General features: G+C 37.9%; 1 protein-coding gene across 25 annotated transcripts in view; it reads left to right on the top strand.

Moving 5' to 3' along the window:
* MCTP2 (multiple C2 and transmembrane domain containing 2) overlaps positions 1-25,526 on the top strand; it is a 252,587-nt gene that overhangs the window by 985 nt on the left and 226,076 nt on the right. The window lies entirely within an intron of this gene.

Here is a 25,526-nt window from a genome sequence, read left to right on the forward strand (position 1 = left end):
GGGTTTCAGCCTCCTCTAGATGCTTACAAGAGCTTGGTCTGGAAGGTACAAGGGTGCGAACCCTTAAGGTACCAAGCAGCTTCTCAGTGAACCGTGAGACGTTAGAACACTTGCTTCAGGACGCACAGAATTCAGACACCACTTATTGAAGGATTTGTATGGATTATAATTTACATTAGCATTCATTTTTTGCTTGAGTCAGTAGCATTTCAATTCAACAAATATTTATTGTACACCTGTTAACGGGCAGACCTCTGAGAGCCGGGCTGGTGTGCTGTTGGGTAGCACAGGTGTTGATATTAATACAAAGGGGAATCTTAAGGCACTTATTCCTCACAGGTGGGTGTTTAGAACGAGACCAATGGTGCTGCGCTTTGCCTCAGCAGCACCTGTGTAATCGCTGGTTATAAGTATTTAAATGCAGGGAGAATGTAAATCTTTGAAGAGTCTCTGTCATTAGCCTGATCAGTCATTCCAAAGCAATAAAAATTGTCAAAACCATGCTTAAAATAAGATTATTAAGAATTAGCTCTGTGCCAAGCACCATGCTAGGCACTTTGTCTTGTCTATGAAATCTACAAAGTAGATACTATTCCCCTGTGCAGATAAGGAACTGAGGCAGAGAGGAGTCCAGTAATTTGTACAAGGTCAGTGGTGAATTTAGAAATTGCATGTGGCTATTTCTGAGTGCAGAACTCGTACTTTTTCACTATTCCATGCTGTCTCTAAGATGGAGAGTGTAAATCCGGCAGATTTAATATAAGAATTCAAATTTATATTCATAGATCCTATCTCCTGGGGATTAATGGAGTTAAAGTAGTCCTCAGGAATGAAGTGAGCACTGTTTTCATTGCACTTGTGTGGTCAAGCTGTGACCTATCTGTGACTAGTAGATGTAGCTTTAAAAGATAAAATTTATTATGTGTCTTAACATATTTTGAAAGGCCTTTCAAAATATGTTAAAAGATAAAATTTATTATGTCTCTTAACATATTTTGAAAGGCCTGATATATCCAAACAGGGCCAATTAATAAAATTGCATATATATTCTCTCTGTGTTATACATGGAAGGAACAGCTAATTTCCTATTATTGGTGTGCTTTACTATGGTCTCCTCCTGCAGAGGTGAGTTTCTCAGCTGAGTGGGCTTTGAAATCAATTTCAGCTTGATTTCTTACAGCTGCAAGATGATTAGCGGTCTCTTGTCACCTGGAAAGGACTTTGTGTTTGTGTAAACCTGTGCTCACACACGAATATATATTTTTCCTTAAACCTATTTCCAGAAGTACTACTTCTGGAAATTGTAGAGTACTGCAATGTGATGATCTGGCGAGGAATCAAGTTCCTTATTTGACTTTTGCATAAAGGATTTATAACAACTGACAATTTCTTTAAGTGCATGTAAACCAGGAAAGTAATTTTCAAATTAAAATTATTATACTGTGGAGAATGGAAAGTGAGTGAAAAATAGTACTCTGAATTCAAATAATATTTCTTGTTGTGGAAAACACTTGCTTTCTTAAAACTTTTCTTGTAATTGTTGGTAATTACACACAGAAATGGAAGGGGTTTTATATTTAAATTACCTTGAATTGTTGCCAGTTAACTGTTGAGAAAAGGCTTTGCCCGTGAAGCGAGGATCAGGTAGAATATTTTGCCTGCGTCAATCTTGGCACAGATTTTTTTTTTCCCTCTATCTTCACGTGGAGGTGAAACAGCCAGACACCTTAAACTCCTCTTTAGGAGCTGAGCTGTTAAGTCCTTCCTAGAAGGTGTTTATAAAAGTGTGCCTGACCTGGTAAGGTGTTCTCATGGGGAACCAGGGTGGGTGATGAAGGAGGAGAGTATGTAGGGGATATGAAGCAGGGGCAGTTCCAAGTTTTGTGAGGCCTAAAAGGTAAACAATTTGGAGACTCTCTTTAAGAAAATTAATACAAAATTAGGTGTGAAAGTGAATATGTATTTAAAATGAGAAAAAGAGATGATAATTTACTGGAGATTTCTGCCTGTTTCTGTGGAGATCTTGGGCAATTTACCAGAAATGCTTACAAAAACAGGAGTGCTGATTGCAATCCGGCTTCCCCTCTCCCTGAGAACACTCAGCATTTCCCAGCAGCTTGTCACACCCACGGGGGGCCCTGCTAGTGAGAAGCCCAAAGTTGAAGCTCTGTTACCCTCAAAGAGTGAGAGGGAAAGTTGTGGTTAAAGGCAAAGGACTCATGCTCCACTGAGCAGAGAAGAGACTGCTGGATGGGACAGCAGAGACACTCTGGACACTCATGTCCAACGAACAATTCTGAGAGCTGGTCTTCAAGACTTTCCAGGTTGGTTTGTTTCTCAGGGATGCCTTTGGCCATTGGCTTTTCCAACTATCAGTCACCATTTATTGGGAGTTTTCTAATGTCCCAAGTCCTGAGTAAGGCGAAGTCCTGATTGTCAAGAACTCCCAGTCTCATGGAGCTGATTTCATTGATCACAGTGCTTTGTTATAGGCTTGCATAGAGATGCCACAGGGGCCTTGGAGGGTTCCTGATGGCTTGAGCTGAGTTTGGAGTTACTCTGATGGAGTCCAGGAGGGTCATTCTAAGTGAGCAGAGAGCCATTAAAAGCCCTGGTGGTGGTCGGGCACAGTGGCTCACGCCTGTAATCCCAGCACTTTGGGAGGCCGAGTTGGGTGGATCACCTGAGGTCAGGAGTTCGAGACCGGCCTGGCCAATATGGCGAAATCCCATCTCTACTAAAAGTACAAAAATTAGTCCGGTGTGGTGGCAGTGCCTATAATCCTAGGTAATTGGGAGGCTGAGGTAGGAGAATGGCTTGAACTTGGGAGGCGGAGGTTGCAGCAGTGAGCCAAGATTGCACCATTGCATTCCAGCCTGGGAGACAAGAGCGAAACTCCGTCTCAAAAAAAAAAAAAAATCCCTGGTGGTTTAGACTCATTCATTCTCCTCCACTGATGTTCTTCGAGTCCGGCAGCACCTACGTACCTGAGATTAACTTGTTAGAAATGCACGTTCTCAGGCACCCCGCATTAGGAGCTCTGCGTCTAGAGCACAGTAATCTGTGCTTTAAGAAGCCCTCCGGATGATTCTGGTGCATGCTAAAATCTGAAAACCACTGGTCTTAATATTTAAGAGAACAGATAGGGCATGGAATCCCTTATGGAGATCACTGGGAGGGAACTGAAATTAATAATAATAGTAATATATTAGTGTTGTAATATGATAATTTGTATTACTATCACTAACATTTATTGAGCTCTCAGGTTGTGCCAGGCATTTTGCTAAGAAATATTAACTCTTAATCTTCGGTACAAACCCTGGGTAACGCAGGGCTATGATCAACTGGATTTAAATGTGAGAAAACTGAAAGAGAAATAGGAAATTGTCCGTAGTCACACAGCTGGAAAGTGGTTCAGCCGGGATTCAAGCACAGGCTGTCTGGTTTTAGAACCTTCCTCTTTTATCTTGCCTGGGAGAGTTTTCATCGATGCCACTGTTATGTGTTGGCATTGGCCAAGAGGCAGGCCTGGGATTGCTTGGGATGTGCCTGTTTAACAATCGTAGTCATTTGCTGACTACTGTGGTTAAGAAATTTTTCATTAGAGACAAATTTCCAAACTAGGAAGGAAGAACTTCATTGTCATTTACTCCTGATGCAGACTTTTAAAATTTCATGAGTGAATAGACATGATTCCATATAAATGATTACATCACATGCAAATACCATTTCCCATAGCGTCATGATTAAGGGCTCCTATGGATTACCCAGCGGGGAGTGATGTTGGTGATTATGGAAGGTGGCCTTGTTTCCTTGTTTAGGAATGCTGGGATTTGATCTGATTATTAGAGGCCTCTCTTCTAGAGGCCAAGCACCTCCCCAGGCCACAGAGGATTTGAAGGTGATGCTGTGTTTGTTCATTACATTTTGGAAGATATTCAGAAGAGCTGTGCCTTGTCCTATTACATTTTTTTTTTCTGGTAAAAAAATAAAAAGTTGCCTATGATTCAATCCTTTCTTTTTTTTCTTTTTTTTTTTTTTTTTTTTTTTTTTTTACGAAATAGCCCCATGGTGTCAAGCAGCGTGAGTAAGAATGTACAGATAGTGACATGGATATGTGTGCGAGTGCGTAGAGTGATGGTTTGCTCTCGGGTATAAACCTAAGGTTGCTGTGCCTTTACTTCCCCTCTAGAAAAAAATGTTTACACAAACATTAATTTGAGTTTATGGTAGGCAGCAGAATCTAATTCTGAGAATGCCAGCTGTGTCATCTATGCATGCGTTCATTCATTCATGTGGTCACTGGTTGCCTGCCTAGTTGTGCTAAATATTATGTTAGGCACCAGAAGAGATACAGTGTGACCAAAACAGACATGATCCCCATGGACCGGAATAGAAGTCCTTGTAGTGCAATGTTATGGGAGAACAGAATAGATGCCCTCCCTCTGGCAGTGAGTCAGCAGGAAAGGCGCTCATAAGTTATTGTAGATCAGGAGGGAGGTAGGTTATTGGGCTTGATTAAGGCCTTAGGGAAGTGGAGGTGCGGCAGGATTTGAGAGATAACTAGGAAGATTACACAGGTGACCAGGTGGAGGTGGGTGATGAGAGAGAGGGAGGTGCTGGGCCTGTGGATCAGGTTTGAGCCTTGGGCTGCTGGCTTGGTGCCAGTAACATAAGTCAGTATTGGAGGAGGAGAAGCCTCTTTTCAGAGAATTATGACCTTCATGGACACTGAGTCTGAGATGTTTGGATGACCCCAAGGTAGAGATGTTAGGTGGATAATTGGATAGGATAAAGGTCTGCACTCCAGGAAAGAGGTTGGCAATGTAGAGATTTGAAAGAACTGGTCTTTGGATGGTAATTGAATAATTGACTAAATATCAACTGATTGAATAATGCAGTTGCTGTAACAACTGAATAATTCAATCAACTGAACTCATTCTTCAGCGAGTGGAGATGAATCCTCCACTCTCTTTGGCCTTTGAGATATTTGAGAGCCATATTTGAGAGGTGGAGGTGGAAGGACGTCCTCAATGTGGAAAAGCAAACAAGGGCCATTGAAAGCAGTTGAGGACAGGACTAAACTCGGATTTTTTTTTTTTTTTATGCTGCCCAAATTCTTATCTAAGGGGTCTGGGGACTCATGCCCTACAAACTATAAATTCTTATCAAATGGGTTTCATTTAACCCTGTATATCATGACTTACTTTCCAATCTGACTCTGGCATAACATTACCTGACAAAGAAGAAAGTGGAAATATTTTACCCCAAAAGTATGTTTCTTTGCCATATTTTGAAATGGTCCTGCAAAGCTGTCCTTTGTGGGGTCACATGTGCATCTGTAAAGAATCTCTATTAAAGCTAGATCTTTTTCTTCCAGGCCCTCCCTATCCTGAAGAGATTAAGAGTCTAGCACCTTTTAAGGTCTGAATAGGAAACATTTGTCATCTGTCATCTCTAAGGGCAGCCACTGTAAGACTTCAGAGAACCTTGCTCTCCACAATTTTTTATCTTAACCTGAACATTTCCTTTCTATTGATCCCAGGTCTTTAGACAAACTCAACCAATTGTCAATCAGAAAATGTTTACATTTATCTATAGCCTGGAAGCCACCCCCCGCCCCGCGCACTTTGAGTTGTCACGCCTTTTTGAACCAAACCAATGTATTTCTTGAACGTATTTCATTGATGTGTCATGCCTCTCTAAAATGTATAAAATCAAGCTGCACCCTGACCACCTTGGGCACATGTTCTCAGGACCTCCTGAGGGCTGAGTCACGGGCCATGGTCACTCATATTTGGCTCGGAATAAATCTCTTAAAATATTTTACAGAGTTTGACTCTTTTTTGTTGACATAGTAGAGTGAGGAGTGAACAAGGAGGTTGTTGAAAGCTAGTGTTCAGAATTTGAGCCCATATAATTTTTATGAGGTAAAACGTTTATCATATATCCTCTTGTTATTTTCTGTTATAAAAACACACATTTTAAATTAATGTATATCGTATGAATCATAAATGAATCATATCATTTTGTATATTGTGTAGATTGGCCAGTGCTGCTTTGGAGTAGCTGTTAGAATATTAATTTTTATATAGAATAGATAGGTTTTCTTAGGTGCTCCAAGTAGAAGGCTTTTTTAAAACTGCTAAAAAGTAGCTAGGAGAAAAAAAAAAGTTCTTTTATCCAAAAACTATTCACTGAGCATGTGCTATACATGTTATGTGCTGAAATTTTAGTTGTGAATAAAACAAATAGATCCTCATCCTCTCAGAGCTTACAGTTGAGAGGGGAAACCAGACAGTTTCACAAGTGATTACAATGAAGCGTGCTGTTCGTTAAGGGTGAGGGACAGGGTGCTATGAGAGCAGGTGGTGAGGGCCACATCCAAAGTGCCACCTAGGCCTGGCAGGAAGGAGATGGAGAAGCACAGAGGGAGTGTTTTGAGAAATCAGTGGATGGATGCTTTTGAGGAACTGAAAGCCTAGGCTAGTCTGTTTAAGCTTTGTTAATGACAAGTTATTAATAAGTGGGAATATTCATGAGAGGTCTGCTAACTGATGGGGAAAACTAAAAAGGAAGCATTAAACCTATCTGTGTGACCACGCCCATGTTCTGTGAAGGGTTTTGAAGAATCCAAGATACAATGGAGTTGACCGTGAAAAAAAAAAAAAAAGAAAAGAAAAACTAAAAACAAAAACACCCAAATTAAAAACAAAAATACCAAAATCAAAAACAAAAATGATTGGGTAATGCTTACTTTTTTTAAGGTGGTGGTTGGGGAACTACTTTTAGCATTATGAAGCATGTTTGGATTTAGCCTGAGAACTTGGGTAATATATCAAAAAATAACATTATATTTCTTGGACTACAATAACCATTATTGCTATGATAATCTTGCTTAACGTAAAAGATATGTATATAGATATGCTTAGCTTCTTCGGTTTATAGTCTGGAAATGACCTTTGGGATCAGCTGTTCCACCTCCAGTTGCCCCTTCATGAATAATCTGGGGCTCAGGAGTGCTGCAGGCTCAATTATTATTTTCACTGGGTCAATTGGTGACAACATCTGTTGGGTAGAATCTGTCCTGAGTTCCTTGTCCTACAGCGACAATGCTTCACTTGAAGACTTCTTGTTTGTTGTTGGAACAGGCCCAGTAAATAATTATCTCCATCTCCTTTAAGTCTTTACTTACATGAGCTCCCTCCCCTGTCTTCCTTATCTCCTACTTTTTCTGACACTGTGCTATGTTTTGAATTCTGTAGGAATCCTTGGCGGAAGTTGCCTTCAGCATTTTAGGCCTGTCTAAACAGGTAGAATTTATCTGACATTTCTTTCACTCCCTTAAGCCTCATGTGAGTTGGCACAGAGACATGTAGCTTTGGCAAAGAATGAGAAAGAAGGTTCTGGGGAAGTTTTCTCTGTTAATATTTGAACCAAAAGACACGGTGGGGCTTGGAAAGTATCTGATGAATTGTTTTTAAATGTCATGAACTATTTATGTGCCCCCAAATTATGTTTGATCAGATAGGTGTGGCCCTGATCAGTAATAACAGACTGGTATTTGGTCCTTTTATTAACTACTTCCTCTCCAATTTCCTTTCCAAAGCCACGTGTCAGTTTCAAGCATTGTCACTATGAGCCCAAGATCCAGAATTATTATTTTATTGTTTAGTTTTGGTGTTCAGTTGTCAGGCTGTGCCTTTTCATTGGTAGTTTTTTTTTTGTTTGTTTTGTTTTTTAAGTAGAAGTTTTTGCTTTTCCTAGTTTACAGGACACACAGATTTAGCTGCTGTATATTTTATTTTGTGTACTAGCTACCTGATATTTCGGAGTCTCTACTCAGTGGTAGCATTATCTTAGTCATGCTAATCCTCTTAGGAACCCTATTAGATAGGAATCATCTCCATTTTATTGAAGGGAACACTGAGACTCAGTGAAACCTAGAACTTGCACAAGGTCACCCAACTGGGTTGGAAATCTGGCCTATGTCTTTTTTTACTTTCTACCCCTGTTATTTGATTTCAAGCTAGTGCTGTTTCAACCATTTCAATCACTGCACTCTGTTTTGCATCCCAGGGAAATTATTTCACCCCAAGACTTGAGGGGTTTCAAGACCCATTCCAACTAAGATTTCAGAAATTCCTCTACCTCCTGAGTTTGGAAGTAGCTGTTCTGTGCATTCTCAGGCTCAATGCAAAGGTGAAATCCTTCATGACAGGGGAGGCCTTAAAACCACATCCATGTAGACCTGGAATCTTGCTAAACCCTGTTGTGAAGATAAACGCAGCATGGTCTTGATAAATATGTCATTTAAGAGCAATTTCCTGCCAGATGACTGTGTATATATGAAGCTGGGTAATCTGGAAAAGTCTCTATCCTTTATCTGATCCAAGTGATGCTGTAAACAGGATTGTTAGATTTGTGTAACGAAGCTAGCAATCACATCTAAATATTACTACACTTAATTCCTAAGTGTTCATGTGAGAACAACTTCATTGTGTTTTTATGTTTTTGAATGATTGTAACCTTTTAAATATATACAGATGTTGGCATTTCAAAACCCAGGAAAATTCTTGTGGTGCTATTGATTAGATCAAGGTACTTTTTTTGGTGTGTATCTATTATTAGCATTAAGACACACTTATCAAATAAGATCTTTTCAAGATCCAGAGTATACAGACACGGTGGATGTTTTGGTTATCGTGGTCTTCGAGAAGCTGGGGTTACTTCTCTGAATACTCCACTTATCCCCAGCAGAGCTTCTGAGATATCTCCTAGGGATCCTTTAGTTTCATGTAGAGTCGGTGGCTTTCTAGGATGTGAGAGCAAATGCAGAGGCTGGTGTAAATGGCAGGGGAAAGTAGTGGAAGAATGTAACTAATACTCCCTTGAACCCTACAATCTGATGTGCCGGGCACAGCCTCATCTGCTTTTGAGAACACTCATCGGTGTTGTTTAATATTCATTCCAATAAGAAGCCATTTTACTATAGGTTATGAATGGTAATTTTGTATTTTTGTTTAAACTATTTTCTAATGCAAATTTTGCTGACCAATTCTGGATGTCTTGTTTGTGCAATTTTGGTCGTTTCCATGGTTTGTAGTAATATCCTAAATCTGGCCAGTCGGAAAACCAGGTCTTGCCTGTCGATATCTTTTTGCTGGTGGCTGTGGGTCAGAGCTGACTGACTTAGTACTTACAAGGCATTTGTATTATTGTTGCTTTTTAAAGTATGTGATTAAGCATAGGATAGAATAGTATAGAACAATATTATGTGCTGATGTATGAATGCAGATATATATATTTTTTTTCTGGAAATGAGTGCTAGAAACTTACTAGTGGTTCCTTTGTGGAGATGGTCTAGTTTGAGCTAAGTCACTTTTTATCCTGTGCCTCTAGGCACAATTACAGTTTCCTAAGGCATACCCACTTTAAAAAAAAAAAGTTACCAGGTTTAATTCAGTGGTGAGATAATAGGGCTTTTTATTTTTGTCTTTAAAATGTCATTTAAATTATCCTTGGACCTCAGAATATTAAAGAGACTTTGAATTTGTTTAATATTTCATAGTTTTTTAAAAGTCTGGCATTTATTATTAGATTTTATTAGTTTCTTTGAGATCAGGAGAATTAGCACTACTCTGTATGGTTGTTGAAATGATTAAGGAGAGAAAAGGTTCCAAATTATTCTCTCCATTCAGCAAGAGTTCCTGTAGGCCACTTCTGATGAGGTAGGTGCAGAATGGAACCACTTAAAACGTTTCTACTCCAGTGAGCAAGTAATGAAGGCCTATGCTATGGCTCCCTCAAACCACCTTGTTACTGGGGAAAGACTGGGTTTTGAATTCAGACAAACCCCAGCTCAACTATCAGTTCTGCCATATATTAGCTGTGGGACGTTGACATCTCTGGAACTCAGTTTTCTCATTTGTAAAATGGAGATGAAAATACTTTGAGATGCCTGTGGATATTAGTAAGAATACATGTAGACTGCCTTGCACATAACAGATACTTCATAAATGTCTATTATTCAAGGAAAAGAGGGAGTCTGGATTCTTCGTAATAAGCAAACCTACAGAGGTTTGGGTAAGTGCCTGCCTACGCTGTTATGTCAGCTTTCTCAGAGATCAGGCATCTGTGCACTGCTGAGGTTTTTTTCTACATTGCCTTCTAACCAGGATAAGGATGAGAAAGCATGGTAGGATCTGATACTAAATTACAGTATTAAAAGAAACAAGAGGCACATTTTTGGGCCAGTAACAATTTTAAAAATCTAGTCTATTTACCCAACTTGAGGCTGTTATTTTTAGAGATGAGACACTAGACACTGAAAGTTTTTTTTTAAACTTTAGATTTTTATTTTCATTTTAAAGATGTTTTTCCCTTTTGCATTTTTAACTAAGTTTTGAGGTCAGAAAGCGAGTATTGCACATGCACATATCCTATTGGCAGTATTGGGTTTAGTGGTTTCTTGGTAGTTACCGTATGATTTGATGAAAGCCTGGCCACTTCTGGGGTTAGCTGACAGTGTTTCCTAAATATATGTATATATATGTATACACATATACACGTACACATATACACGTGTATATGTAGATACACATATACACGTGTATATGTGTATCTACACATACACGTGTATATGTGTATCTACACATACACGTGTATATGTGTATCTACACATACACGTGTATATGTGTATCTACACATACACGTGTATATGTGTATCTACACATATACGTGTATATGTGTATCTACGGGTGTGTATATATGTATCTACGGGTGTGGATATATTTATATACGTGTGTGTATATACATACGTACGTATGTACGTATGCGTATATACGTATGCGTATATACGTATATACATACGTATGCGTACATACACATGCGTATATGCGTATATACATACATACGTATGCGTACATACGTATGCGTATATGCATATATACATACATACGTATGCGTACATACGTATGCGTATATGCGTATGTACATACATACGTATGCGTATATGCGTATGTACATACATACGTATGCGTATATGCGTATGTACATACATACGTATGCGTATATGCGTATGTACATACATACGTATGCGTACATGCGTATGCGTATATGCGTATGTACACACATACGTATGCGTACATATGTATGCGTATATGCGTATGTACACACATACGTATGCGTGCATACGTATGCGTATATGCGTATGTACATACATACGTATGCGTATATTTGTATATGTATGTATACACGCATATGTGTATATACGCATATGCGTATATACATATATATGTATACACATATGCGTATATATACACATATATGTATACACATACATATGCGTATATACACATATATGTATACACATACATATGTGTATACATATATGTATACACATGCATATGTGTATATATTTATGAACATATATATGTATATACACATATGCGTATATACATATATGTATACACATATGTATATATTTATGTACACATATATGTATACACATACATATGTGTATATATTTATGTACACATATATGTATACACATACATATGTGTATATATTTACACATATGTGTACACATACATATATGTGTATATATTTACACACACATATGTATACACATACATATGTGTATATATTTATGCACACATATGTATACACATACGTATGTGTATATATTGCACACATATGTATACACATACATATGTGTATATATTTATGCACACATATGTATACACATACATATGTGTATATGTTTATATACACATGTATACACATGCATATGTGTATATGTTTATATACACGTGTATACACATACGTATGTGTATATGTTTATATACACGTGTATACACATACATATGTGTATATATTTATATACACGTGTATACACATATGTGTATATATTTATATACACACATATATACACATACATATGTGTATATATTTATATACACATATGTATACACATGTATATATACACGTATACGTATACACATACATATGTATATATACGTATATGTATACACATAAATATGTATATTTATATTCGTATATGTATACACATACATATGCACCTATGTTTATATACGTATATGTATACACATACATATGCACCTATGTTTATATACGTATATGTATACACATACATATGCACCTATATTTATATTCGTATATGTATACACATACATATGCACCTATGTTTATATACGTATATGTATACACATACATATGCACCTATGTTTATATACGTATATGTATACACATACATATGCACCTATGTTTATAAACGTATATGTATACACATACATATCCACCTATGTTTATATACGTATATGTATACACATACATATGCACCTATGTTTATATTCGTATATGTATACACATACATATGCACCTATGTTTATATTCGTATATGTATACACATACATATGCACGTATGTTTATATACGTATATGTATACACATATGCACCTATGTTTATATACGTATATGTATACACATACATATGCACCTATGTTTATATACGTATATGTATACACATACATATGCACCTATGTTTATATACGTATATGTATACACATACATATGCACCTGTTTATATACGTATATGTATACACATACATATGCACCTGTTTATATACGTATATGTATACACATACATATGCACCTATGTTTATATACGTATATGTATACACATACATATGTACCTGTTTACGTATATGTATACACATACATATGTACCTATGTTTATATATGTATATGTATACACATGTGTATATATTTATACACACATGTTTGTATATTTATACACATGTATAGATTTATACACACATATGTATGTATATATTTATACATATGTGTATATATACATATGTATGTATATATACACATATGTATATATACATATGTGTATATACGTATATACACATATGTATATATTTATATACATATATGTACATATATTTACATACATATGTGTAGATATTTACATACATATGTATATATATTTACATACATATGTATATGTATTTATATACATGTGTGTATATATTTATATACATGTGTGTATATATTTATATATACACATATATGTATATGTATTTATATACATATATGTATATATACATACATGTATGTATTTATATATGTATACATATATGTATATATTTATATACATACATGTATATATTTATATATGTATACATATATGTATATATACGTATATGTACATATACGTATATAGACATATACATATGTACATGTATATATACATATACTTATACATATACATATGTATATGTAAATGTGTATATACATATGTATGTGTATACATATATAAATATATGTGTGTGTGTGTGTATATATATATATATATATCTATATAGACAAAAGAGTACCTTTGAAGGCTTTGGAAGGTGAAACCTAGTCAATGGCTTCATTGGAGCACATACCTACATTTCTGATTGCTCCCCCCCCAGCCAAAAATATTGATCAGCTATGATTTCACGTTTAAACAGGGCAATAGAGAAAATGGAAATGTTTTCTAGTTTCAAAAAACTTGTCTCCCTGGAGTGTCAAGCTTCATCTTCATGAAAAGATTATTAGTGGTAACCTCTTCGGAGCAGAGAGGATTTTAAAGGCAGATGAGGTCTGTGTAGGCTGAGAGTGGGGAGGAAAAATGTGACTTGAGTCTGGAAGAATGGGAGGGACTGGCAAAGGCTTGGGGAGAGGTCGTCACTTTTATCTCTGTTCCTCTCACATTGTGTAGCCTCTTGGAACTTTGCTGAAGGACCCTTTGCAATGCTACACATATTAGGAATGGACACTGAAACCGTCACCTACAGGAAATGAGGTGTCAGAGACTGAAGGACAGGTGGCTTAAAGGTCAAGTATTTGGAGCTGAGCCAATGGTCCTGAATCTCAGCTCTACTATGTAGTAATTGTGTGTCACTGGGAAAGTTACTTAAGCTTTCTGTGCCTCAGTTTATTCGTCAGTGAATGAGTCGTCTAATAGTACCTACCTTATAGAGTTATGAGGATTATAGGATAGTATTTCTAAAGTGCTTAGTACCTGATACCTGAAGCACCATAGCCTCCCCTTAAGGAGTAGCTGCAGTGGCTGATGCTCTTGTTGTTTGGAAATATTGATGGTGGAGAGACTCATTTAACTTTAATGCCATATAATGTGTCATGTTTACCTCCCTTAATAGAACCTAATAATTGCTTCATATTTAAAAACTCATTTGCAGTATTTTAGCTCAGTGGGAAGATTGATTTGGATGTTTTTAATCATTCTAAGCCTTTGTTCTAGCCGAGGCTCTATGAAATGGGTTGCAAAATCCACAGACTGAGAAATGATAGAAAACTAGGGAAAGTTCATTTGGGAATTATCAATTTAAGCTGTCACATGATAATGTCCACTTCATTGCGCTGACACTGGCATTGATGGAATCCAAGTGGTGGAGAAAAATCGATTTAACCTTTTTAAAAGATGATGGTTTTAATATTGATAAGTGTTCTTTACCTTTTCATTTGAGAGATGCTACTGTAATGGAATGCCTTATAAATACTAATGAGTGCTGACTGCCATCTTTGATAGTAACTCCTTTGAGTATTTTAAGACAAACTCCCATGATCTGGGCAAATGTCATGTTAATGCATCCCAGACAGGTTGAGAAATATATTCATTAAATCATGCTTCACATGAGTGTAGGAAGAGTTTATTAATTTATATTTAAAAACCTTTGTAGATTCACAGGCCAAAAAAGGGCTTAGGAGGTGTGTGCGTGTGTGTGCGCGTGAGTGCATGTGATTCCTTTTAATTCATCTGTGGCAGCTTTTTCTCCTTTGATTGAGACATTTGGATCAGTTCAGAGGGCATTGGATGCACATCAGTCAGCTCCTCATGAGTGCTTCCTGGGTGCCTCACCTGCTGCCCTTTCTTAGTCCCCAACATGCTGGGGAATTCCAGCTGTCTCCAGGATCCTCAGGATTGTAAAGGATTTCTGCCTATTAAGATCCAAATGTTAATGGAAAGAGGGGACAGAGAGCTGGGCTTTAGGATCCATGCCAGTTCTAGGATCCTTCAATTCTTGGTTGATAGTGTCTGAGATCACTTATGTGGGCCTTACTCTGTTGTGGAGTTCAGGGGCTTCATTGTCAACCTGTTGATGGTGATTTTGTAGAGATGTTAAGAGGAGTGGGTCATTTCATTACGAAATGATTGGGAAAAACCAGATGGGATGTCCAAGCAGATAAAACGGGCGCATCCTCACCATAGTTTACTCCCTGACCTTCAATCAGTAAGACTGATGATCATTACTAATTTAATGCCTCTGTAAAAAGCTGCCCTGTACCTTATCATAGAGCAATAAATATGTATTACACAACATGTTTTTCCAAAAAGCTTAACAGTTATGAAGCTCTTTAGGTTGATGAACTCCACTAGTCTCTAGGCAGGCTTGGATTTCTAGTAAATATTCAGTCATGATGTTAATAAAACGAATCCTCTTCTGAATTCATTCATTTGTTTGTTCCATCAAAACTTATCTGTAATGTGCCAGGTATTGATGTGGACTGGGAAAATCCAGTCTCTTCCCCTCAGGGCACTTACAGTATTGCAGGGTGGTATTGAGGAGTAGATTAGGAGATTAAGTAAATAAACTAACAAGATAATGTTGGATCCTTAGGGCCATCAAGAATGTGAGGTGTGATGAGATTATGACATGGAGGTACTGCTTCACACTAGAAGGTCAGGATTAGAGTTAGGCTTGGGGTAGAACTTGTTAAGGAGGTGATTCCTGATGTGGGACCTGAAAGAGCCAGGTTTTTGATCTGTGCAAAGGTCACATTATGTAACTAATAACAGCCTTGAATAAGGAAACAAAATCCCTACACTTGCACCCCAAGTGTTTGATGCACCCATTTTCTCCTTATGCGAGGTTTCTAGTGTTATACTTCACACAGGCATTACCCTTCCACCAAGTAGAACTGAACCATCTCGAAATAATGGGCCTCTTCCAGGCAAGGACGTGACTGTGGCTCAGTAGATCCTACCTTTCTTCACACAAACCAAGTTGGCTGAACTTTGCTCCCAATGAGAGCTCCTTCTGTGTTTACTTTCCAATTACATTGGCCAGTCAGGTAAGCCTAGAGCTTTGGCCAGGCTTGCTTTAACTTTCCTTTGACGCTTAAAATATGTTCTTTCGCTTGTTGCTTTTAGCTCTCTGTAAATGCCACACTGTCCTGTCATTCTCAGGCTGTCAAGATTCTGCCCGCTTGTGTCAAGATACTTATTGGAAATTAGAGCTTCCTCTACTTTAAGTCTAAATCTTTTCAACACTGGATTTTTATATGATTTACGAAATTTGAATTGTTTGGTGAACAATGAGCCAAAACAGACAGTGAGGCTTTGCAAAGGTGCAAGTGTCTTAATCAAGAACCCTTCCTGCTCAGTCCGTGGAAACTTACCCAGTGGTGTAAACCCTGCCACGGTGGCTTACACAGGTTCTCTGTGCTTTTTGTTGATTAACTCAATATGGAACAGTATGCTTTGGGTCCTGAGAGTCAGAAGGAATGGTAATACAGAATTATACCTTTATAGAAAAGCAGAAATTTACTAAATTAAATGTTAAACTCGAGCTTAAATGCTATTGAAGCGCTTGTGTTGTGCAGATAGATGCCTGTACTGATTGTTCTCTCTCTGGAGCTTCTGTTCTGTGCAGAGATGACAAACATGATAATATTTTATTACACATAAGTAGGAGTTAAGAATCTGGGATAGATATCTGTCTTGATTTTCCGTAATATGCCTGTACCATGTGAAGTGGTTTCATTTATTTTACATAGCCCTGTGTTATTTAGAATATTCTAAAACTATATGTGGACTTTCCTGTATTGGCTGTTGAATAAGAACTAATTAGCTGTGCCATATCTGGAGTTAGCATGGCCTCTTGAATTGTCTTAAAGAAAGTTGTAGGATATTTCTGGTCCTTCTATAGGATCTATGGTTCTGATATTTGTGCTGAGATGGAGATGGTAATACCAGCCTAGAGCCATTGCTCCCCTTTCCAAAGCCCAAGGCAGATGTTCAAGTGAATGACATCATATTTCCCACTGAGTCTCAGAATCTTTTTTTTTTTTTTTGAGACGGAGTCTCACTCTGTCACCCAGGCTGGAGTGCAGTGGCGCGATCTCAGCTCACTGCAACCTCCGCCTCCTGGGTTCACGCCATTCTCCTGCCTCAGCCTCTTGAGTAGCTGGGACTACAGGCACCCGCCACCACGCCCAGCTAATTTTTTGTATTTTTAGTAGAGACGGGGTTTCACTGTGTTAGCCAGTATGGTCTCGATCTCCTGACCTCGTGATCCACCCACCTCAGCCTCCCAAAGTGCTGGGATTACAGGCATGAGCCACCGTGCCTGGCCAGAATCTTTTTTTTAATAACAGCTCTTCAGGTAGCTGTCATGAGTTGATCTGAGCTGGTCACCAGAAACCTAGTTGTCATCCAAGACTGTTTTTGATTAAACTTTTTCTTTCTGTTGTCTGAAAGCACACATACAAAATGTCACTGCAAACATTACTTTTATTTTTACATTCGCTTATTACAAAACATTATGTCAATAGTAAAAGAAAAAAAAAGCACATATTATCTGCCTTTGGAAAAAATCAGCCATCAGTGATTTTTTCATTTTTTTTTTCCCCAACTTAAGCCATACTTGTACATCACTTCACAGAGCCATAAACATAGTTTTGGTAGAATTTTGTAGTTTGTGTTTTTCACTTAAAATTATACCATAAATTATTTTCCAGGTGACTACATAGCATTGGAGAATTCATTTTTAATGGCTGCATTAGTGAAAATGAGTGGCTCGTATTTCTGTTCCTGGTGTATGTGTGTATCTAAAAATATATCACTTAATATGCATTCTGTGCTACATTTCCTAGGCTTGTAGAACATTTATAGTTTGTAGTAACTCAGTTGTCACCTTGTGCAAACTGTGCAAGAGATTCTATCCTTCACTTGTGCTGATGGAGTAATTTAAAATTTCATGTCGTGAGCACGTATTGAGGATTACTATAGAAGCCTATGAACACTGGATTTTTGTATGGATTTTCTCTAATATACTCTAAATCTAAAAACACATTAAGGCAAAGCACCTGGCTCCTCAAAGAGCTAACACCATGAAATTACCTAGAAAACAAAATTTAGCTAAATGAATTTATACCTTACTACAGGGACTGAGAGTTATCTATTTTTTTCTATTAGCTGAACAGCAGTCTTTATCTCTGTTATATGAAATGACATGAGCTGTGCAAGGTGAAGTCACTCAGAGAACAATCATAACATTAAGAGAAATGTGGCCTGAAAGAATACATTTTGATTTTTATGCTACTTATAGAGTTCAGTGTGATGGAGCTAGGAAAATTGACAGCAGAGCCCAACAATTTTAGTACAGAATTTATCTGCTCTGGGAAAAAGCTGTCTTCATTGTGTTATGAAATGTGAATTGGTGTTGGGTATTTATAGAGTGAGAGGCAGCAGAAAATGTCCTCATAGTCAAGTTTAAGAAAATGTCTTATCTAAATGAGAAGCAATACATTGATATCTATACTGACATAAGTAGCATGACTATGGAAGATGATTAGATAAGAGTGGCCCTTGGTTGACTTCATGACTTCTGTTTGATTGGCAGTGTATAAAATGTAGTAATTTCACATAAACATTTGGGCTGAGAGCATCTCTTGAAAGATCTGAGTGTGAGGCGAGTCAGGCTGCATTCCTGCAGAGCTGCCGTAGCCACAGTGAGGACAGGACCCATGGTCACCTGGGATTTTGACCCTGACAAATAAATATATCTTTTTACTTTACCGAATTCATCTCCTTAAAATGTGTCAGTTTCTAGACCTGTACATTCATTCCAACTTGGCTTAAAATTAATAAATTTTGTCATTTTTATGTTTTCTTAATCATCCTAAAATACACATAACCTAATACGCATTTTGTTTTTTTTTTTTGAGACGGAGTTTCGCTCTTGTTGCCCAGGCTGGAGTGCAGTGGCGCGATCTCAGCTCACTGCAACCTCCACCTCCCGGGTTCAAGCAATTCTCCTGCCTCGGCCTCCTGAGTAGCTAGGATTACAGGTGCCCGCCACCACGCCTGGCTAATTTTTGTATTTTTAGTAGAGACGGGGTTTCTCCATGTCAGTCAGGCTGGTGTCGAACTCCCGACGTCGGGTGATCCACCTGCCTCGGCCTCCCAAAGTGCTGGGATTATAGGCGTGAGCCACCACACCTGGCTGCAATGATCATTTTTAAGTATACAGTTCAGTGACGTTATGTTTATATTGTTGCACAACTGTCACCTCCATCCGTCTCCTGAACTCTTCATTTTGTGTAACTGAAACTGTGTCCATTAAACACTGTTTCCTCATTGTCCTCTCCCTCTGCCCCTGACAGCCATCATTCTACTTTCTGTCTCCACGAATTTGACTACTTTAAGTAGCTCCCATAAGAGGACTCCTATAGTATTTGTCCATTTGTGACTGGCTTATTTCCCGTAGCATAATGTCCTCAAGGTTCATCCACGTCCTAGCAATTGCCAGAATTTCCTTCTTCTTAAAGGCTGAATAATAATATGTTGTATGTATTTATCGCATTTTGTTCATTCGTAGACACTTGAATTGCTTCTTTTGCCTATTGCAAATAGTGCTGCTAGGAACATCGGTGTACAATTATTTAAGTCCCTGCTTTCGTTTCTTTTGGGCAGATACCCAGAAGTGGAATTGCTAGATTATGTGATGATTCTATGGTTATTTTCTTGAAGAACTGCTACATCATTTTTCCATAGCGGCTGTACCATTTTACATTTCCACCAACAGCACACTAGGGTTCCAATCTCTCTAGAGTCTTGCCAACACTTGCCATTTTCTGTTTTGTTGTTGTTGATAGCCATTCTAGTGAGTTTAAAGTGTGTCTCATAATTTCCATGTACATTTCCCTAAGAATTAGTGATATTGAGTATAACGTTTTTACAGAGCTTACTACAGTTGTAAGACATGACCTTTTGAATTGTCATTGTAAGAAAATTACCTGGCAGATCAAAAGATCTGGATTCTAGTAATGTCTCCATCTTTAATTAGCCATTTGACCTTCAATTCTGTTTGACAACAGTTAATTAGGCTGTGCTGTGGTAAGTGCTGATCCCCTCATGAGGTGACACAGAGTGGAGAAAAATAAACCACAAATTTTTTATTCATGCCTCTGGTTTACAGATTTTTTTTTTTTTGGTCTCAAAGTAAAAACAAGGTATCACAGCTTAAACTTTTCTAATTCTAAAGTTTGTAATCTGTCACCTAAACTTATAAGTGTAACTTAGATTCTCTTCAGACCTAGGTAGGGTTACCAGCCATCAAAATAAGACATGAAAAGTATGATATAAGGGAAACAGGTAATTTTGAAATTTTTGGAGGATCTGTGGTTAATATCTGAACCTTATTTACAATTTCTACTTATTTATAAATTTGATTAAAAATTAGCATATCTTAATTAAATGTTGTTTATTTTATCTTATCTCTTGTCATACCTTGCTTTTCTGGCTTCCCAGCTCATTACAGCCTGGCTTCTGTGTCCCCGAGGTGTCTGCTGCCCTCCCAGTAACCAAACAAGTTGGGGGCACCTCTGCTTCCCTCAGCTGACTTTTCTGCAACATTTGCAATTGTTGCTTACTCCTTGAAACTTCCTCTCTCTTTCCTCTGTGCTGCCACTAAAAGTTAATTATTCCTGTGGTTCAGCACCCAGCCTTGTTTGCTTTTCACTTTACACACTTGTTTGAGGAGAGACGGTTCCTGTCTTCCACATTTCCATCTCAGATTTTGCTCTGAACTCCCACCTTGAATATCCAGTTAGACTATATAGTGTGTCTCAACTTTGATAACTTATCAGTCTTCCACCTTACCTTCTGTAAATGGCTCTTGCTCCTCTTTCCCTGTGTTAATTGGTGGTTCCACCATATTACCTCTGGCCTATCTAGGCAACTTAAACACCTGCTGCTGCCTGCTCCCTATTCCTCTCCAACACATATAATCAGCAAATTACAAAATTCAGCTTCTCAGTCCCTTCATTGTCATTCTAGTTACATTTTTTTGTGGTCTAGCCTTTATCACACTGGATTAATGCATCAACTAGGTACTGCATTAGCATCTCATTCTTAACACCTCCTAGATCACACAACACTGTTGGAATTGCTTTGCTATCTGCTTCTCCTACTGTACTCTGAGTGCCTCAGGAGAATAAATGGGGTGTGTATTTTATTCCTTGAGCTAATGCCTAGGGGAACTAAAGGATACTGTAATAGTCTCTCTCTTAAAGTCTCTCTTTTTTTTTTTAATGCACAAAATGTAAGTTTCACATCGTTGCATGTGACAGACCTAATTCTACTGCAGTATCACACAAGTGTAACCATTAAACTCCAGAGACTGAAACAGTTTTCTCATCAGCTTAAAAAAAAAAATCTGGTGGTAGTATAGCTCAATGGTGGGTTGAAACACATCTGCTTTTTACATGATCCTTGATGCTCCAGAGCACACTGTTTACTTTCACTTTCAATGACTCTAATTTCAAATGGTATAGATCAAGGTTGCACATATGTGTACATAGAGGATGAGACTGTGGTGGGTGACATGTTAGAAAGCTGTGAATACCTCGATATTTGATTGGCAACAGCAAATGTTTTCGTCATAGCATTGGAATATTCTTGATTGCTTCTGTTTATTATTGCTTCTTATTTCCTAGCATATTTGAATTGCATCACTTTCTGATCAGCCTTTGTAATTTTCTTTACCATTTCCCATTGTGATGCACTAATAATTATTATACAGTGTCTCTTCAGGTTTTTAAATTCTTATTTTAGAATGATGACTGCTTTGCCCAGAGTAGAGATTTGGTGATCCCAGTTACGTAGGGATGGCAATCTAGCCTAAGGTATAAGCACAGATGTTGTGGTCAGAGAGAACCTGGTTCGAATCCTGGCACTAATACATACTGGCTGACAAGTTGCTTCATGTTTATAACCCTTGATTTCTTCTTACATAGGATTGGTATTTTTACTCAGCTCTGTTAACATTTGTGAGGAATTAGAAAACTCATGGACAAGAAGACAGTGCCTGCACTTAGTCACTGCCAAACAAAGGGCCACTATTTATATCCCTAAATTATCCACTTCATTTGGAAATATCACAAATGTGGCCACTGGTTTGATTTTTTTGCAGCAATTCATATGTGGATGAAATTGAGCTCAGTGCAACTCAGCTATCTAACGCTTAAGAAGACACACATTTTATATTCTGATAAATACTGAGTTGGAGACATACTTGCTGTGAATGAATGAATAAATGAATTTAAATTTTATACTTGTCCTTATGAGAGTAAGCATTAATTTGTCATTGATTACAACCTTAAATGATTGATGAGTACTTAGAAACTAATGACTTCGCAAAAGAGAATTTCCAAACTGTCAATTTGCTTAGAATTTAAACAATGTCATTGTATTATTCCTCTAAAGCTTGAAGTTTTCAGATGTGTTTCTTTTTATCTGGCATTTTATTAAAAGATGTGTTACGCATGGGAAAGGTCAATGAATGTGACACAGGGCTTGGCAAAGCTGGGATTTATGGAGACACAATTTTTTAGAAGTTTTCTATTGGAAGATCAGACCTGTTCTTCTTCCTTTTCCTAAAGACAAACTTTAGGAGATAACATCAATTAATAATTTTGAGAAATAGTCCTTAACACTTTGATCATATAACTATACCCCAATTAGTTTATGAGATGACCCATCTAATTGGGGCATAAATGATTTCAAATACATCTTTAGGGAAGATGGCTAAGTTTCCAACTTGATCTAACAGGTGCTTTAGAGACCTAATATAGAAAGAGTTTAGATTGATTATAGAAGGAATATAATGTAGAATGGAAGATCTCTTTAGTTTTCGTAGTGTTTCTAGTATCAAATCTAGAGAGAGGGTTTTATTCTGTGTAAATGAGATCTATGATATTAGCAACCATTTAGATATAGATGGCTAGATTATTAACTTTTTAGCAGTTTGACTTTCGTCATAGCACTTATGACTGACATAAGTATTTTAATAATTAATTTTATGCATACTTGCCTTTCTTGAGTAGTGATAAATCCTATTTACATAAAGACCTCTAAAAACATGCCTGTAGGCCAAGGAAGGGACGTTGCATCTCGTGAAGAATCCTGGGATATTTGGTAGGAGAGAGTGGAGGAGGGCTTTGGGCTTATGCTGAGTGGCATTAAGGGTGGACCAGCAGAAGCCGTGGTCAACTCTGTACTGAGTGCTATTCTGAAGCCGAGGCAGTTTCACAATTGAGTATCCTAGTGATCTTTGCTCAGGAAGCAGGGGAAATGAAGTAGAGCTAGGAAAGTTGGTAGGAATGAAAGAAATCATTCAACAGTAGGGAGTTATTACATTGTTTAGCAACTATGGAATGCTCTTAGGAAAATTTTTTTTGTTGACTTTACAGTTGTACTTACTTCTGTTAATGAAGCACAATCTGATTTTTAGCAGGGATGACTTTTATTTACTCAGATGTCGCATAAAAACTTTTGTCTTTTCCTCACAGCTCCATTTTGGTGCTCAGAATTTTCTTGACATCTGTAGGCTGAAAATCCCAAATGCAAAAACCTGAACTACAAAATGTTGCAAAATCCAAAAGCTTTTGAGTGCAGACATAATGACACAGGTGGAAAATTCCACACCTGACCCTGTGTGATGGGTCACAGTCAAAATGCAGCCGAAACTTTGTTTCATGTGCAAAATTATTGAAATATTGTATAAAATTACCTTTAGGCTATGTATATAAGGTGTGTATGAAACATTAATTTAGTGTTTAGACTTGGGTCCTGTCCCCAAGACATCTCATTATGTATATGCAAATGTTCCAAAATCTACAAAAATCTGAAATCAGAAATACTCTGGTCCCAAGCATTTTGAATAAGGGATACTCAACCTGTAGTAGGAATAAAATATACCACCCTCCTCCCCATGTCTGTTGGATGAATAACAACTTTTATTGATGATATACTAAACTTTGTCCTTAAGCTGTTCTCCTACAAAATATGGGACTCCTTTCAGATAGCCAGTCTCAGTACATAGCTGCAAAACTTTGCATGATGTTGTTTAAATTGAGAGGCTATTTTGATGTCATGAGTGAGTATCAGGAAGGCAGACCATCACAAGAATTGGGTCTTTTCTGTGAGCAAGAGACTTAGAGAAGTAAGGGACCTTTCTGAAAAGAAGCACAACTTGCCCATGTTCCTCTTTCCTGAGTGGACCCAACAGGCAGTGGTTAATGTGAGATACGGTGTATAGTTTTGTATTTCCAGCAATGCTGAAATCTGAATAACCAGGAAGCTAAAAATGAAGAAACAAATCATAAATCAAAGAACCTTTGATACTTCTCCTTCCTTCCACTGGTCTTCTTCCTTGGACTCGTCCTGCGTGGAACATATTCCACACAGCAGACACTATGATCCTTTGAAAATCCATGACAAATCAAATCAATCAATCCTCTGACCAACCTTCACCTCCTCTCCTCCCTGACTTCCCAATTCACTTAAAATAAAACCTCAAGTCTTTGCTGGCCCTCATCCCTTCTCTGACATCATCTTATTCTGTCACTGATAGATCAGGCAGATCTGGCTCTGTTGACCTCTTTGCTGTTAGAAGCAAGGAACATGTTCTGGCTTTGGGGCTTTGCATGGATCCATTCCTATTTTTGGAATCCTCTTTCTCAAATAGTGTTTCTCATTCTTGTCACTTAAGTCTCTGCTCACATGCTCCCTCATCCTCTGTGGGATGGCTTCATCCCTCTTCAAACATATATATCCTCATGGGAACACTAGCTTCCCAAAGGCAGGACCCTTGTCTGATTTGACCACTGAGTTGATGAATTTGTAAGAAGCCAAGTCAGGCTTTGAAAGCAGATTCCTAGCATCCATTGAAAGGAGGAATTTTGAGGGTAGATGCTAGATTAGACAAAATTCAACCTTATCTCCCATATATTTTGCGTGTGGTAACAGTGGTGTATGTTCCCTACAATGCCCTGGTAGCATTACAAAGAAAAATTGTTTGGGCTTTTTCAGAACTATCACATTTTAAAAATATTTGTTGTCATTTTCTTTGTTGTTTTTTTTTTTTTTTTTTTTTTTTTTTTTTTTTTTGAGACGGAGTCTTGCTCTGTCACCCAGGCTGGAGTGCAGCGGCATGATCTCGGCCCAATGCAGTCTCTGCCTCCTAGGTTCGAGCGATTCTCCTGCCTCAGCTTCCTGAGTAGCTGGGATTACAGGTGTGTGCCACCATGCCCAGCTAATTTTTGTATTTTTAGTAGAGACGGGGTTTTACCATGTTGGCCAGGCTGGTCTTGAACTCTTAACCTTGTGATCTGCCCTCCTCGGCCTCCCAAAGTGTCAGGATTACAGGCGTGAGCCACCGT

The sequence above is a fragment of the Homo sapiens genome, chromosome 15 (assembly GCF_000001405.40).
Source record: "Homo sapiens chromosome 15, GRCh38.p14 Primary Assembly".
NCBI classification, from domain to species: Eukaryota; Metazoa; Chordata; class Mammalia; order Primates; family Hominidae; genus Homo; species Homo sapiens.